This window comes from Homo sapiens, chromosome 18, assembly GCF_000001405.40.
Source record: "Homo sapiens chromosome 18, GRCh38.p14 Primary Assembly".
Taxonomy (NCBI): domain Eukaryota; kingdom Metazoa; phylum Chordata; class Mammalia; order Primates; family Hominidae; genus Homo; species Homo sapiens.
Genome location: NC_000018.10, coordinates 210,656 through 228,109, shown reverse-complemented (window position 1 = coordinate 228,109; position 17,454 = coordinate 210,656). Strand labels below are relative to the sequence as shown.

General features: G+C 37.2%; 2 protein-coding genes across 6 annotated transcripts in view; one reads left to right on the top strand and one right to left on the bottom strand.

The window, feature by feature from the left end:
* THOC1 (THO complex subunit 1) overlaps window positions 1-13,590 on the top strand; it is a 53,528-nt gene extending 39,938 nt beyond the window's left edge. For 3 of the 4 annotated variants that reach the window (XM_011525772.4, XM_047437972.1, XM_011525774.2), the window contains 10 exons: window positions 1,209-1,309; window positions 2,707-2,773; window positions 2,971-3,021; window positions 3,116-3,186; window positions 3,910-4,026; window positions 4,605-4,670; window positions 9,141-9,224; window positions 11,477-11,624; window positions 12,606-12,681; window positions 13,189-13,590. In XM_011525772.4, the coding sequence (XP_011524074.1) occupies window positions 1,209-1,309; window positions 2,707-2,773; window positions 2,971-3,021; window positions 3,116-3,186; window positions 3,910-4,026; window positions 4,605-4,670; window positions 9,141-9,224; window positions 11,477-11,624; window positions 12,606-12,681; window positions 13,189-13,484 (1,077 nt within the window). In that variant the 3' untranslated portion in view covers window positions 13,485-13,590. The remainder of the gene's footprint in view (window positions 1-1,208; window positions 1,310-2,706; window positions 2,774-2,970; window positions 3,022-3,115; window positions 3,187-3,909; window positions 4,027-4,604; window positions 4,671-9,140; window positions 9,225-11,476; window positions 11,625-12,605; window positions 12,682-13,188) is intronic. The other variant, NM_005131.3, reaches the window with a different exon arrangement.
* USP14 (ubiquitin specific peptidase 14) overlaps window positions 13,481-17,454 on the bottom strand; it is a 56,073-nt gene continuing 52,099 nt past the window's right edge. For both annotated transcript variants that reach the window (NM_005151.4, NM_001037334.2), the window contains one exon: window positions 13,481-16,977. In NM_005151.4, coding sequence (NP_005142.1) covers window positions 16,826-16,977 — 152 coding nt within the window. In that variant the 3' untranslated portion in view covers window positions 13,481-16,825. The remainder of the gene's footprint in view (window positions 16,978-17,454) is intronic.

Below are 17,454 nucleotides of genomic sequence, written 5' to 3'. Positions count from 1 at the left end.
GACAGTCAAGTTGCCCAGGGGCTGGAGGAAGGGAAGGCTGATGGCCGGCCATTCACATTTCCAATTTGGGATAGGAGAGTTAATATAAATAACAATCAAATATATTCAATCCTTAAACGTGAGGGAAACCTGACTGGAAGGCTGATCATTAATTTTTTTTTTTAAGACCTGGAGCCACAGTGTGGAAGGGGTTGCTAGTGAATAGGGAGGCTTGTGCGTGTTAGGTAGCATTAGTAAATGGTACCAACCACGTAAAGCAGAGCCACCAGCACTTGGGACATTGAACCAAAACCAATCTTCGACGCTTCCAGCTGCCTTACTGGCGATTCATTTAGAAGAACGTGGCTTTCCTTTGTTACTGTAGTTTTTGAAGGCAGAACTAGCATGAGTTTGTGGATACAGACTTCAGCCTTCCTTCAGTGTTCCATGCACATAATCAGAATGACCTTCCTTCATCGCCGCAGGTTATTCTTACAGCTGGATGGCAGGGTCGTTGAAGAACTTCCTCATGAGTGACCTTCAAGTCCTTTCTAATCCAGATTCTGTGATAATACAAGTATGATGCAATTTTCACTAAAAGCTAAAAAAAAAAGCCCATCTAATCAGAGATGATCTTCACCTCTAATTTCTTGTTTATTGTCAAGTAATACCTCTGTTGCAGGCACTTTATAGGGCTACAAAAATGAGTGGTCCCCGTTGATATTGTGCTGTTATCCGTATCTTCTTTAGCCATTATTTCTTCATATGTGAGAAAGTAGTAGCCTCAGTTTTACTTTAAAAAAAAATTTTTTTTTTAAATTTAGAGTCTTGCTATGTTGCTCAGACTGATCTCGAACTCCTGAGCTCAAGTGATCCTCCTTCTCAGCTTCCTGAGTAGCTGGGACTATAATAGGCTTTGTGCCACCATGCCCAGCTTACTTTTTTCTATTTCTGCTTTATTTTATCCTCATGTCTGGACCATAGATAGATCATTGTTATCCACCAGCAAGAATGTGTCATGGCATAAAACAGTCAAGAAATCTAAGTGAAACCTTGACTGGGCTGTCTTTGGGCTTGTGCGGTAATGCCTCACATGCAGTGAACTCTCAACAAATGGCTTTTAAATTGAATTGGAATCTTCCATTTCTATATTAGCACATTTTGTACCTTTAGGAAAAACTTGATTTTAATGTGTTGTTTTCGTATGTGTTTGCTTGTTTCTTGAGTAGCTGATGGATTTACAACTGAGTGACAGTAACTTTCGTCGACACATCCTGTTGCAGTATCTCATTTTATTCCAATATCTCAAGGGGCAGGTCAAATTCAAAAGGTAAGATAATATGGGTAGTAAACAATTTGTAAACAGTAGCCAAGAAAAAAAAGGACTTGCTTACGATTTTTCTTATGTATGTGTCCATTTCATGTTAAGGCTGTATCCCTAAAACACATGTATTGCAGCTGATACATTGAAGGCTTTTCGATATTAGGATATTTAAGGAAAAGATGTTAAATATATCTGTCAGTGTGAGTTTTTCCTGCCCAACTCCAGGGCTTGCCAGGAGTTGTCGTCTTTATTAGCAGGTGGAGGTCTCTGCTCCAAAATTCCGTCATTCCCTTCTCACCTCCCTCAGACCTCCTCCAAAGCTGATTTGCAGACTAAGCCAGTAATACATATCTCACAAGGTGTGGAGCTCTGCAGGACATTCAAGCTAAAAGATGCAAAGAAAATTTTTAAGCAAAAAGGAGTTCATTTATTTGGGGTTTCACAAAACCTCATTAGGCTCTCTACTGTCTATCTAAATACTTCCATCCATTTCCTCCTATCCTGTCCATAACTGAAGGTGGAGCCCACTGTTACTTAACGGTATTTGTGTTAAGGACACTGAGCAATGCCGTATTAGTTGTATAATGACTTCACTACCTGCTGGGTTTGAATCCCAGGCTCGTCATTTGCTGGCTGCAGTGCAGCTCTTTCAGACTTGTAATTTTAAGGTAGTAGCACATGGTAAACACTCAAAAAATGTTATTTCTTATCCTTCTATCTATTTTGGAGGTTTGGTATAGCATAGTAGGAAGATGAGGGACTTTGAAGTGAGACGTGGGTTTGAATTAAATCTTTATGGCCTTGGGCAAATCAGTGAGACACGGTAGTCTCTGTTTAATATGTACATGTACTTGTTCCGAGAATTCAATGAATAATGTATGTAAAGTGTTCAGATCCTAGCCATCAATATTTATTGGATGTCTTTAAATCACCTAGTGCATTATGAGAGCTCAGTTAGTGGCAGCTATTAACAATTTGGGTTTGCCTGTTGCCTTTTCTAGGGTTTGGGTGTTTTATTCGTTGTATTTTGAATGAATCTTAATGTAGCATGCCATACTGAATGTGCATCATGTATACACATATCTTAATATCAAATCAGAAGTTTTCGTTTCACACTCAGCTTATTTTAGGAAACATATATTGCTCTGTTCATAGTGAATCTGATTGATTAATTGAATGTTTTATTCCCTGCATATGCTTTTATGTCTTCAGTACCAACCCTCTTGAGGAAGAAGTGCAAGAATTTTCTCTTATAATCCTCTCATTTGTGATTATTCTTGTCTTGGTAATTTTTGACACTATCCACAGTATAGTTACATGTTACATGCCTTGTGTTTTTTAAACCTTAAAGTTGCATATGCATTGCTGTAACTCAAGCATGCTTTCATTGCTTTGTTCCCTAGTTCAAACTATGTTTTAACTGATGAGCAATCACTTTGGATTGAAGATACTACAAAATCAGTTTATCAAGTAAGTTCAACACGCAACAAACCCATGATTGAAAAAATGGAAATTTAGGATTTTCTTTGTTTCAGCCCCAAATAGGAAAATAAGGATAAAGTTAAGCTCAGGTACAAGACCACAAACACTCCTTGGTTCTCTGCCTACAAACCACTCCTATGATGCAGAAAGTTGTTGAAAGCTTAGTATATTCTTTCTAATCACAGCTACTATCTGAAAACCCCCCCGATGGAGAAAGATTTTCAAAGATGGTAGAGGTATGTGTTTTTTATGCTTACATCCTCTTCTTAGCACGAAATAGAACTTCAGAGGATTCCACTAACCAAAATGTAATCGCTTTGTTTTTCCCAGCATATATTAAACACTGAAGAAAACTGGAACTCGTGGAAAAATGAAGGTTGCCCAAGTTTTGTGAAAGAAAGGTAAATACATACTGAAAGAAAGGTAAATACATACTCATCACAAGAACGACGAGAAAGGCTTTTGAAAATGTGCTCCGATATGATTATAGCATGTAAAAATACATGTATATATTTCACATAAAAAATGTAAGTTGAACTTTGTAAGAGTACAACCACTTTGATTTACCTCTGTATTTTTTAAACCTCATAAATTTCTTGTCATTAAATTCCTGGAACAAACATCTTATTATTGAGAAGAATACTGTATATCTACTCCGTGTAATTTGCCATATAATGTGGCATTTTTATCTTATATCTGATAATTGTTCTATCATAATATGAAGTTTTCATTTTTTTTTTTTTTTTGAGAGGGAGTCTCACTCTGTCACCCAGGCTGGAGTGCAGTGGCATGATCTTGGCTCACCGCAGCCTCCGCCTCTTGGGTTCAAGCGATTCTCATGCCTCAGCCTCCTGAGTTGCTGGGATTACAGGCGCCTACCACCATGCCTGGCTAATTTTTGTATTTTTAGTAGAGACAGGCTTTCACCATGTTGGCCAGGCTGGTCTCAAACTCCTGACCTCAGGTGATCCACCTACCTCAGCCTCCCAAAGTGCTGGGATTACAGGCATGAGCCACCATGCCCAGCCAGTTTTCATCTTTTTTAAGAGGAAAACAATAACTAAATTTTCTTTTACGTTAAACATTCTTCTATTTCTGTTATCCATTTGTAATTCAAAAAATAGTGTATGTTTTGTTCACGACAGAACATCAGATACCAAACCTACGAGAATAATTCGGAAGAGAACAGCACCCGAGGACTTCCTAGGGAAAGGACCCACCAAAAAAATTCTGATGGGAAAGTAGGTGAATTTGTCTTCATGTGGGATGTTCTTAGTTATTTTTATATTTTGAAGATGTTACTTTAAGAACTCTCCATCCAAAATATAGTATGAGATTGTGTTTGGTACACACATAGATAGCCAAAGCAAACCGCACTGTCTATACTGCCCATTGTGTGGGTTCATGCACCAGATAAACCTTCATTTTGTCTCCAGCTTCCAAAATCTGTGTCTCTAGGCTGTGCCATTTTTTCCGTTTCAGACAGTAGAATTGTTTAGATTCCAGTTGTTGCAAGGTACCATAATCCTTGAGTTCTCTTACCTTCCAGTTAACTATTCATTGCTTTATATTGTGCTGGAATATTTTTAGAAAAAACTAAAGATTATATCATTATCATTAGTCATGATTAATGATTATATGCTCATATAGAGAATAATTTTAGGTATTTTAAATACCAAAAATTATTGAGAAAAGTAAAACTCATACTGTCAACATCCCCAAATCCACTGTTTACATTGTATTGTTTTTCTGTTCAGTTTCAAGGCACATGAGGATGGTGTCCATAAAAAATGTATTTATTTCTGTGTCTATTTTGTAGTGAGGAGTTAACAAGGCTTTGGAATCTTTGCCCTGATAATATGGAAGCCTGTAAATCAGAGACAAGGCAAGTTGAACATTTTTCAAATGAAGTGTTGCTTTTGTCAAGTGTTGAGTAGAATGGAGCCTTTTCTCAGCTATGATCAGAGCTCAAATGAAATTTAAAAGTTTATTGTGGTTGACTTTTGGCACAGCAGCGTGTAACTTCCCACCATAAAACTCCTCAAAGTGCTGATAAAATAATTTTAGAAATCACAAAAAAATAAAGATTCACAAAAGGAATCAAAACTACAAACAGAAGAGTAAGCCTATGAACTGATACGGTTCTAGGGCAGCAGTACTAATGATTGCCAGCTTTGAGAACCAGGGAACTTGGGTTTTAATAGTCACAAAAGTTCGTTGAACTTGCAAAATGGGCAAGTTTAATAGCAGTCTAGACATAGGTAAAGTAAGAATTAATGGGTTAATTAATGATTAAGAAATCACCCAGAAAGCAATACAGAAGGAGCAGAGTTAGAAACGATGACTTAATGATAGTTGAGGAGGTCCAGCAAACATCTGATGGCAGAAAGAAATAATAGAGAATGGGAAAGAGGCAATAATTGAGTTAATTATTAAGAATAGGCATGAATTCATAGGTTCAAGAAGTATAATACTTAAGGAGGATAAACCAAATAAATCCATATCTCTGTACATGATAATAAAGTCACCAGAGAGAAAAAACAGACAACCTACAAAGGAGCAAAGTTAAACTAACAGTTGACTTCAAGAACAACAAAAATCAGAAGACAGTGGGATGAGTGCTTGAAAATGTCTTTCACATTCTCTATTATTTCTTTCTGCCATTAGATGTTTGCTGGACCTCCTCAACTATCATTAACTCATCGTTTCCAACTCTTGCTCCTTCTGTATTGCTTTCTGGGTGATTTCTTAATCATTAATCCAGTAATTCTTACTTTCCCTATGTCCAGACTGCTGTTAAACCTGCTCGTTTTGTAAATTCAATGACTATATTTTCTCATTTCTAGAAGTATTACTTGCTTTTTCAACATTTCAACTAAAAAATTCTGTAACAAGTTAAACAGTTGTGGTTGAGTGATTGACTAAAACTATGAGAAATTATCAACAGTCCCCAGTAAAAAAGCTGTCTTAAGGAAACTGAACCCAGAAAGGAGTAAATTGCAGAAAGGATTACTGTGTAGACACTTTGGTAAACATGAAGAAATCTGAATAAATCTTATCAAGAATTCACTGTTATAAAATAGTAATAATTATTATTTAGGGTTATTTTAAAAGGTAAACTTGATAAAAGTGACATGTAAGACAAGAAGGGGTGGTCAGAATTAAAGAATGTTATGGTTTAAGTCAAACATGCTTGTAAAGTATGTGAAAGAAATGGAATATGTAATTTTTAAATAAATTGAGGGGTAAAAGTAAATACAGAAAATTTAAGCAAGTAAATTAGAAGGTAGGAGAGGAGGAAAAAAGCACAGAAAACACAACAGAAAGTACAAAACAGTATGGTTAAATTCAAATATAAATGGAAATGGACTTTCTGGCTCAAAGACAGAAATTGGTGTTATATTTTAAAGATCTATCGGCCAGGCGCGGTGGCTCATACCTGTAATCCCAGCACTTTGGGAGGCCAAGGCGGGCGGATCATGAGGTCAGGAGATAGAGACCATCGTGGCTAACACGGTGAAACCCCGTCTCTACTAAAAATACAAAAAATTAGCCAAGTGTGGTGGCAGGCGCCTGTAGTCTCAGCTACTTGGGAGGCTGAGGCAGGAGAATGGCGTGAACCTGGGAGGCGGAGCTTGCAGTGAGTCGAGATCGCACCACTGCACTCCAGCCTGGGCGACAGAGCGAGACTCCGTCTCAAAAAAAAAAAAAAAAAAAAGATCCATCTATATGTTTATAAGAAATATACCTTAAAAATAAAGATATGGAAAGGTTGAAACTGAAAGAACTTTTAAAAGACGTAATTTTTAAAAGGCATAGTTATATTGATATCAGGCAGAAAAGGCTTAAAAGCAGAAAGCATTATTAAAAATAAAGGCAATCATTGCATAAAGATAAAAGGAAAAAATAGAAATATACACATTTTAAACTTTATTTTCTAAGAATGTGTTCTCAAAAATTTGACAAAATTAGAATGAGAAGTTGACCCAGGGTCAGTTTTCACCATCCACCACCACCCAGAAAACCTACCATCTAGTAGGATTTTGACAGACCTTTCTCAGAATTTAATAAATTTGGTGGAAAAAACTTAGTGTAATACATTTAGAATTTAACAAAATAATTAACAGGCTTGGTCTTACAGAAACCACAAGTTTTTGTAAATTATGTGTGAATAGCAAAAGCAAAAATACTTACAACTCCTTTAAACACACTTCTAAATAACCCTTGAATCAAAGAAGTCATAATGGAAATTGGAAAATGTAGAGCTAAATAATAATGAAAACACTACATGTTCAGACTTTTGAGATCTAACTCAGTAGAACACAGAAGAGAAATGTATAGCCTTAAGTGTTTACACTTTCAAAAAGAATGAAATCTAAAAACCAAGCTAATAAGAGTCTGACACTGAGAGTCATTCAGAAGAAAAGTAAACTCATAGAAGTAGAAAGTAAAATAAGATTAGAAATCAGTAAAATAGACAACAAACAATAGAGAAGATAACAAAATCAAAAGAGAAGATCAATAAAAACAAAAACCAGGAAAAATAGATAAAATTCTAACATGATTGATTCCTGCCAAATCTGTGAGAGTGAATCAACCCAGTAGAAAAATGTACAAATGAATAGTCAGATTCAGAAGTAGAAACCTTAATAAACCTCTGAGAAGACGGGGAACTTCACTAGTAACTGGAAGTACAGTTAAAAACTACAGCAAGCAGTTTCCAGCTAAGAGATTCAGTAATTTAAAAATACCCAGATTTTATAAGAATTATGGATAAAAATAATTTGCCAGTGCTGCTGGTAGGAGTCTGATGGCACAGTCACTCTATCTGAATGTTAAAGATGTCTGTGCCCCACTAGTAGGTGTGTTGATCAGAATAGTGTTTTTAAAAACTAAGTTTGAGAATCATTGGTGGTTTGTAAAGTCAATTTAGTAATTTCAACTAGCATTTTTTAAATGAAATAGGAAATATACTTTTGTGAAGCATTAGCTTTACTTATATATATCTGTACATATACTTGCATATATGTGTGTACTGGGTTGCAGTGTAAAATGAATTTCTTATTGTGGGTTGCAGTGGAAGTTTGAAGGCCCAGTGCCTAAAGAAATCAGTTCATCTACAAGGAGACAGGTGCAAGAATGTTCATTTAACATTGTCAGAGCAAAGAGTGGGAAGACAAATATCTCTGTGTAGGACATGGATAACTTGGGGCATGTTCATAAAATGGAATATAGTATCTGTAGCATTAGAAAATGAATGGATATTGGGATAGTTTTCTTAAAAGAGCCCATTTTCCTAGTTTTACTCTAGAAGATGTCTTCTGATCCTGAGACCTCATTTCTTTGCTTGACCCTGTATCAAAATTTTATTTCTAAAAACAAATTCAAGAAAGATGCATTTTAAAAATCAACCATGCTACCATGGTAACAATTTAAATAAGAGCTAAAGGTTAAACCCTTGAAATCGTATTATGGTCTGATTATTAGTTTTGGTTTAATTCTGGTTTAAAGAAAAAATAATTCGTGGATAGGGACTTAATGTAAAAGTTTATTTGCTGGTAAAATTCAAATGCTATAAAATACCCTGGCTGCCCTCTTTGAATAGCAACATATTTATATATTATAGTGTGTAATTAAAGTATATAATATTATATGTAGTAAATACTATGTAATATTTAGTATTAGACTATCCCCTTTATTTATTGTCCTTTTTGAATTTAGTTTTGACGGTTTTACTTCCTTAAAAGTCTGGAGTTCCCACGTAATCAAAACTGTAACTAAAAGTATGGGGCCATTAGAATCTTGTCCTGCCACCACTTTATGAGTATTTATTATTAAGAGTATATGCCATCCTCACTGGTTATTTTGTACCGCTCAGGGAACACATGCCCACAATCTTGTCCTGCCACCACTTTATGAGTATTTATTATTAAGAGTATATGCCATCCTCACTGGTTATTTTGTACCGCTCAGGGAACACATGCCCACAATCTTGTCCTGCCACCACTTTATGAGTATTTATTATTAAGAGTATATGCCATCCTCACTGGTTATTTTGTACCGCTCAGGGAACACATGCCCACAATCTTGTCCTGCCACCACTTTATGAGTATTTATTATTAAGAGTATATGCCATCCTCACTGGTTATTTTGTACCGCTCAGGGAACACATGCCCACAATCTTGTCCTGCCACCACTTTATGAGTATTTATTATTAAGAGTATATGCCATCCTCACTGGTTATTTTTGTACTGCTCAGGGAACACATGCCCACAATCTTGTCCTGCCACCACTTCATGAGTATTTATTATTAAGAATATATGCCATCCTCACTGGTTATTTTTGTACCGCTCAGGGAACACATGCCCACTTTGGAGGAATTCTTTGAAGAAGCCATTGAACAGGCAGACCCTGAAAATATGGTGGAAAATGAATATAAGTAAGTATGCTCCTCATTAGCTCCTTTTAATTTTCTTCAATTTGTTTCTTCCTTAGGAATTGTGTGTATACTAGAAAGCCTCTTAAGAGAGGCAGTAGATAGAATAGTGCTTTTTCTCTTAGGTGAGTTTATGTTCCAAGTTCTTGTTAGTACACATCCTGATTTCAAGGATTATTCCTGTTAACTAAGCATGACTTGGAATCACCCTTGTTTCAAAATATAAGAAAAAAAAAACTCCCCCTGATCCCCATTTCTCTCCAACTATTAGTTCTGTTCTCTCTACCCTTCAAAGCACAGTATCTCACAGCAGCTGTTAACCTATCCTGTTCCCCTTAATGTTTTCTTCTCTTGGCGTCCATGAGAATCCAAATCCATGGTTCTTCTGTTTGCCCTTTGCCCTCGTTGCCCACTCCACCTCACATTCCATTTCAGCCTCCTCATCCTCTGCCTAACTCAAATTTTGGAGTAACATCAGGAATTGGTCTTAGCCTCTTTATCTAGAACCTTCTGGGTGACACCGCAGTCTCATGGCTTTAAATAGGAATTGAAGAGTAGTGGTTTAAAGGCAAGAGGCCTCTGGTCAGAATGCATAGGTTCGATTCCCTCTACCACTTACTTACTAGGCAACTAAGGCTAATTTAATTATTAAACCGCCAGTTCCCTTTCCTCATCTGTTAAATAGTAACAGTACCCATTTCACAGGGTTATTCTGAGGATTAAATAAGACAGTGCACTTTGAACCCTACAGGGCATGTGGTTAGCACTCAGTATTTGTGACTAGTGTGACCCTGTGACCAGAGTTGTTAATTACTGTGACCTCTTAACTAATCTCTCTAGTTGTGGTCAGTGCTCCATGCATCAGCCAGTGATCTTTAAAATAATTGTCCAAGTCTAATCTGCTTAAAATCTCCCAGTGAGTGCCTATTCCAAACTCCTTCCCAGGGCCTAAAAGACCTCCTTGGTCTGGCTCATACTCTCCTGTGTGGCCATGCCTCCCCTCTGCTTTAACCACAGCAGGCCTCTTGGTCCTGTCTTTCCCTTTCCTGTCAGGACCTTCACACTTTACTGTCTCACTTGCTTGAACCACTTTTTCCCCAAGGTTGCCGTGGCTTAAAGTCCCCCTGGCTGGGAAGCTCTTCCCCTCCCTGGTCTCCTCTTTTGCATTCTCGTGGTTTTTATTTCACGGCACTTACCACTATCCAAATGAGAAGGTGGCACTTACCACTTTCTCATTTCTCAAGTTTTCCTCATCCTTATGAAATTGTCTTATACCTTGTGTGTTTATCACTAGCAATGCCTGCCTTACTGTGCCTCAGGTACTCTCCACAGCTACTGAGTGCCTGGCTCAAAAGTGTTTGTCGATTGAAAGAATATTAATTTATCACTGTTACATAAGACTAGGTGGACTCATTCCTAAAGTGATAGTTCAAATTATTATCTCCAAAGAGGGTTTTGTGGAGAATAAGAAAAATGATGTGTATAATTGACAGTGAATTTTGAAAATGCCTAAAATAATCAAATTGTCTAAACAGATATGTCAGAGAGGAAGGCTCTTAACTGTTTAGGCAAAGCCTCACAGCAGGTGTTAACTTGGGAAGAGTCCCCAGTGTCTATGGGTAGTTTTTGTTAAGTCTTCAGTGGTACCTGCACATCCTAAAGGTAACATATGCTTATTTATAAGAGGTGACCAAATAAACCAAATTGCTATTCTTAGGGGAGGAAGAGACTTCCAATCCAAAACTCTTAAATGGAATAAATTTGTGGTTTGGTTTCTTCCGCAGCATTGCATATTTCTGACGCATTATCTTTAGAATTTCTCTGCAGTTTGTTTCTCACCTGATGGTATACCACCCTGATCATTGTTATACTTCATTAGGGAACAGTTCATGGATTCCAAATAGCTAGATGGATGATTCCTGTTGTATACGTACTGCATCCAGCCAGTACTGCACACACTTGTTGACTTGTTAAAATTAAACAAAATGAACGGAAACTTTGAAAATGTGTTTGCTGCATATGAGCCTGCCTCTTCAGGCATTGTTGGTTCCTGTGATTAGTTACATGTGCATCTATTGGTTTGTTATTATCAGTGGACTACATACTGAAAAGTTCTTTAGGAATAAGATTCAAATACAAAGAATGGCACTTTGAGCTATTTACCTTAAATACAGAATTACACATGGCAGAACTGAGCAGAAGGGAATACAGAAATACAAAGCTATAAATTACAAGCCTGACACCTCTTTTTATAGGGCTGTGAACAATTCAAATTATGGTTGGAGAGCCCTGAGACTATTAGCACGGAGAAGCCCTCACTTCTTCCAGCCAACCAACCAGCAGTTTAAAAGTTTACCAGAATATCTTGAAAATATGGTAATAAAGCTAGCCAAGGAATTACCGGTAAGTACCATAGATCAACTTTTCATACCCTTTAGTTGACATCTTCTTTAAAATTGCTGTCACTATGTGAGCAAAAAACTGACTTAATCATGTGAAAAACCAGTGATCCACAAGCTCCCATGTTTTAGAATGAGGGAAAAACACATTGGAATATACATTTACAGGAAATACATGAGTTGATAAAGAAGTAACTGATAATTTTCTGTACAGCATGTAATTTAAAGTTCAACAGGGCTGTGGGTGCGGTGGCTCACGACTGTAATCCCAGCACTTTGGGAGGCCGAGGCGGGTGGATCATGAGGTCAAGAGATTGAGACCATCCTGGCCAATATGGTGAAACCCCGTCTCTACTAAAATATAAAAAATTAGCCAGGTGTGGTGGCACGTGCCTGTAGTCCCAGCTACTCAAGAGGCTGAGGCAAGGGAATTGCTTGAACCTGGGAGGCGGAGGTTGCAGTGAGCCGAGATCTCGCCACTGCACTCCAGCCTGGCAACCAAGCAAGACTCCGTCTCAAAAAATTAAAGTTCGTGATACTTCAGGTAAACTGTTATGCACCTATACACACAGACATGAATTTTTTCCTGTTTGCCAATGCATTATATTGTCTTTTATCAAAGATAAAAGATAAGAATCAGAAACTTTTAAGGACACTGTTGCTACTGGCTTCCTTGAGGCCGTCTTTACTAAATAAACCCTGGGTATTTGCAAATCCTGGAACTGTGCTTTTTACTGACTTCCTGCTTCCCAGATTGGGGGTGGGGAGTCTTTCCAACTCTGAGGTCTTCCCAAGTTCACTCCTTCTGCAGGTGAAGATAGTCCCACTTAGGATCCTTACCTGACACTGTCATTTAACGCTCTCAGGGGTGAGGTTCTGGCACCCTGTACTTGGAATCTCACAACCGTCCTTATCCAAACAAAATACCTGTTACCTTACTTCAGAGGCTGGCATTCTTTCAAACATTCTTCTTTCTCATTTTTAGCCTCCTTCTGAAGAAATAAAAACAGGTGAGGATGAAGATGAGGAAGATAATGATGCTCTACTGAAGGAAAATGAAAGTAAGAACTGAATTTTCTTGGTTATTTAACAAAATTGAAGACGATTGGGGTTCTTTGTTGATAGGTACATTATTTAATTTGATCGACTTCTCAACTTCTCCCATTTTATCTCAACTGTTTCTGACATAGTGAGGAATTTAAAACATTGCTTAATAATAACTTTAAAAACACTACATTTTATGCAATAAAATTGGGAAGTAATGGTGCTTTAAAAGGGAATGAAAATACATTTGAAGGCGACCCATACCTCTGTTAATTATTGGTTATTGGAGGGGGAGCACCTCATTTCAGGGAAAGCCTACGTAATTATAGGTAACAGCTTTAGCTTTGATTATTGACCATGCTTATTAAGAGTGGTATTCAACTTACGGAGAATATAAAAAATAATTGTTTACTTTTAAAATAAAGTCTACTAAAGGTGGTTAATAAAACTTATTGGCCCCATAGCTTTCCATTTCTGTTGTATACTTAGAATTGCGCATAATTTATATTCTCTTCATTTTCTAGGTCCTGATGTTCGGCGAGACAAACCTGTAACAGGAGAACAAATAGAGGTATTTGCCAACAAGCTGGGTGAACAATGGAAGATTCTGGCTCCCTACTTGGAAATGAAAGACTCAGAAATTAGGCAGATTGAGTGTGACAGTGAAGACATGAAGATGAGAGCTAAGCAGCTCCTGGTTGCCTGGCAAGATCAAGAGGGAGTTCATGCAACACCTGAGAATCTGATTAATGCACTGAATAAGTCTGGATTAAGTGACCTTGCAGAAAGTCTAACTAATGACAATGAGACAAATAGTTAGCTTCTTTTTTTTTTCTTTTTATTAAAACTGTGATAGATTTTGTTACCAAGCAGCATTTGATAAGAGGTCCACTGGTTTTGGTAAACAATAAACATTTTTATAACAATTGTTGTACAGTCGGCTGGTGCTCTGAGAACAATAGAACACATATTGGCTCAAACCAGAGTTTGGGGAGGTTGGGTTGAGATAATGACCTAAACGAAGTGACCTCAAGATCACAAAATATATTTTTTTGTTAAGTAGATGTATTTATAATGAAGTTAAATAAGCACTATTTAGGGATATGTCGTTTCTTATACCAAATTAGTTTCCTGTGTGTTGTTTGTTAGTAGTTTTACAAAATTTATCCTGAAATCCCAGAATAACACTTTCTGAAACCATATGACTGCTCTGTTCTCACTTATTCGTGCTTTCAAGCAGAGGATCAACAAATGATGGTTTGTTCTGCCTGCCACGAGTCTTGATCATTAAAATTGTACTGGCACCCAGCTGTGCTCACTCATAACTAACTAACTAACTGTCTATGGCTCCAGCTACACTATAACAACAGCAAAGCTAAGGAGCTGCAGCACTTTATAGCCTGCAAAGCCTGAAATAATTTACTATCAATCATCAATCAATCATCATCTATCTATCTATCTATCTATCTAATCTATCTATCTTGTCCATTACAGAAAATGTTTGTTTGCCAACTTTAAAAGAAATGAAGTCTAAAACCTCACTTTTCCTTCTAGCCTTACAAAAATTGCCTGACCTCTCAAGACTTTTAATCACTTCAGGGATTCTTGTGACATTCAACTGAGATATATGTGAACACACCCTATACACAGCAAAGCACTAAGTAGTAGTAGCAGAAGACAGTACCACCGACTTTTCTTGTTCCCACATAAGCATTTCCCTTTAGGGCTCTAAGATGAGGTCATCATCGTTTTTAATCCTGAAGAAGGGCTACTGAGTGAGTGCAGATTATTCGGTAAACACTCTTAGGCCTAACCTAGCTAGTCAGTCAAGCAGTAATCTAGCACAACTCTAATGTTGAGATGATGGCCTCGGTGTGAGTGGCACAGCATATAAGGCACATTCAGGAATCAAGACTTTTTTTTTTTTGGCCTACTCCTCTCCCTTCTCAAAGACCTTACAGGCAAGGCTGAATTCTAAAATAGCCTTATTAGTTAAAAACAACACTGGTATAACTAACTCCCATTTCTACTTGAAAAAATTCTTTGGAATAATGCTTTTTTAGATCAAATAAAAAAATCAAGCTTTTTATAATGATGATAAGGAATTAATTACAATTTTTAAAATTCTAATATAGTCCATACAAGGCTTATATACTTTGCTCTAAACCTAGCTCACCTGGTCTAGTAGCTACAACATTTAGTAGCTACAGTCAGAAAATCTAAATTCTAATTGTTAAATTCATGTCCTCAATAAAATTGTTCTGACCAAATGAGACAATGAATAAAAAAGACTTTGCAAAGTTACAAGCATCATACAAATATACATGAATCATTATAATTTTCATGGTCTCATCCTGCCCATTCTATTCTTAATCCCCTCCACAAAGTAGAAAGTATTGATTGCCAAGTCAAAGTTTAGGTGAGGAAGCTATTTACAAATAAGTTTCCCTGCAATGCTTATTTTATCCCCTCCTAGTGTTCACAGATTGCATCACATCAGATTTGAAAGTAAAATGGCTGTTATTTTCTATTTTTAATAGTTATCATCAGTGTTGTGCTCTGCCGAGCATTAAAACAACATACACAAAGATATGAGATGTTATGATAATCCCCAAACTTTATTATAAATAACTCAAAATCAGAGCCAAACTGGCTGGTATTCTATGCTTTATCCTTTCCCTAGCATCAGTCAAGGGTCCTGGAACAAAGATGAGTAACTATTAAAATGTAAGAAGCCTATCATATTGAAATACCTCATATGCTTGGTATTTTCTACTATCACTTTAAAATCACTAAAATTCTGAAACAGACATTAAGATTTGGGAATTTTTTCTTTTTTTTTTTGAGACAGAGTCTCTCTGTCACCCAGGCTGGAGTGCAGTGGTGTGATCTCAGCTCACTGCAACTTCTGCCTTCCAGGTTCAAGCAATTCTCCCACCTCAGCCTCCCAAGTAGCTGGGATCACAGGTGTGCACCACCACATCCAGCTAATTTTTATATCTTTAGTAGAGACAGGGTTTCACCATGTGGCCAGGCTGGTCTCGAACTCAACCTCCAGTGAACCACCTGCCTCAGCCTCCCAAAGTGCTGGGATTACAGGCGTGAGCCACCGTGCCCAGCCAAGATTTGGGGAATTAAGAAAGGAAATACAAACACAACTGAGCCAAGGAAAGAATCTGACTGATAACATCACTGCATTCAGCATCCAAAGAAATCCATTACTTTTACAACTTTGTATTTCTTTTTAAAATACAGGCAGGCAAAGAAGATAACAAATATTTTTAAATGGATGCTTAACAGCACAGTGTTAATAACCATCTTCAGAAATTGTACAGTATTAAACATGTCTTCAGCCAAGCTCCAACACTCAGAAGACAAAAGACTTGAGGTCAAAAGCTATTAATCCCTTTTTTTTTATTATTATTAAATGTCCTCATTTTCTAAAAATAAGCAACCAGAGCTTGTCAACATTTTCTTAAGACTGATTATTACAAAGCCATTCCAAAGTTAAATGTACAATCCACAGTACATCAGAGAGAGACACAATAATAAATGTATAATCAAAGGTACTATTATTGATCACAATTTATTTTAAAGTCAGGAAAAGCCTGCAATAGGCTGGACAAATACTTGATTGTGCCCATGTTTCCATGGGATGGACAGCAGCACTGAGTCACACAATGAGAGCAACACTTCCTTTTCCACCTTCCTGGAAAAATGTTTGTTAGATAAGGCAAAGGATGGGTGGCTACAGAATGGTGGTTTGAACCATGCAAGAACAGCAAATAATAGGTAATAGGTGTGCAGTAAACATCTGACTGCTGAATCTTGGGTGAAAAAGGCAGCAAGAAAAATGACCACAGAAGGAAATGGTTGAAAGGCATTTCAACTCTGAACTTTTTAAAATAATGCAAGAAATAATAAGCTTTTTAAAAATGTCTTTCTGCCACCTTTATATAGGGCAGCACAATCCAAAGATAATTTTCTCTTCTCTGTAATTTTTTAGGTTGGTGCACAGAGTGGTCTGCTTCTGTCCTCTTTTGTTCCAAATGAGGTGAAACATAAACCCACCTATGTGTCTTCCTCTAAAGCTCTGGATTATAGAAATGATCAACAAATAACATTTATTTTCACATCTAAGCATAAATACTAAAATGAAGATTACTGTTCACTTTCCTCTTCCATTATTTCAACTCTGCGAGGCCCATAGAGTAGAACGTAAGCGATATGCCAGTCTCCACCACCAGAAAGCCGTAAGATATCTTCTGGTGTTACGATGCTGACTTTGTCATCATCAAACTTAATCCATTCATCTAAATAACAGGGACAAGAAGATGAATTAATGTTATGCAGGATTCGTCTCAGAGTTCCACTGCAAAAAAAGTATCAAGTCATCGGAGGCACAGCAGTGCTCCACTGGCCACACCAACAGTCCTCCAAGTGCGACCCAGTGACCACACAGGCTTAAGGGCACTGCAGGGGTTCCACCAGGTTACAACTACTTCAATGACACCACTAGAGCACTGCTTGCCTTTTCCACCCACATTCTCTCAAGTGTACTCTGGAATTTTCCAGAGGCTACATAATGTATGATAATGCAACAGACTGAATGCGAACACTAACAGGAGAACCCAGCTGCCTCCTATTTAAGCCAGACAACAGAAAGACATAAAAATGTAAATCAGTACCATTTCTCACTCATTTTGTTTTTACATTAATATGTAATGGGCTTATTACTATCATTTTTAAAACTAACTTTCTTAATTTCTCAGTTTTAATTTCTAATACAG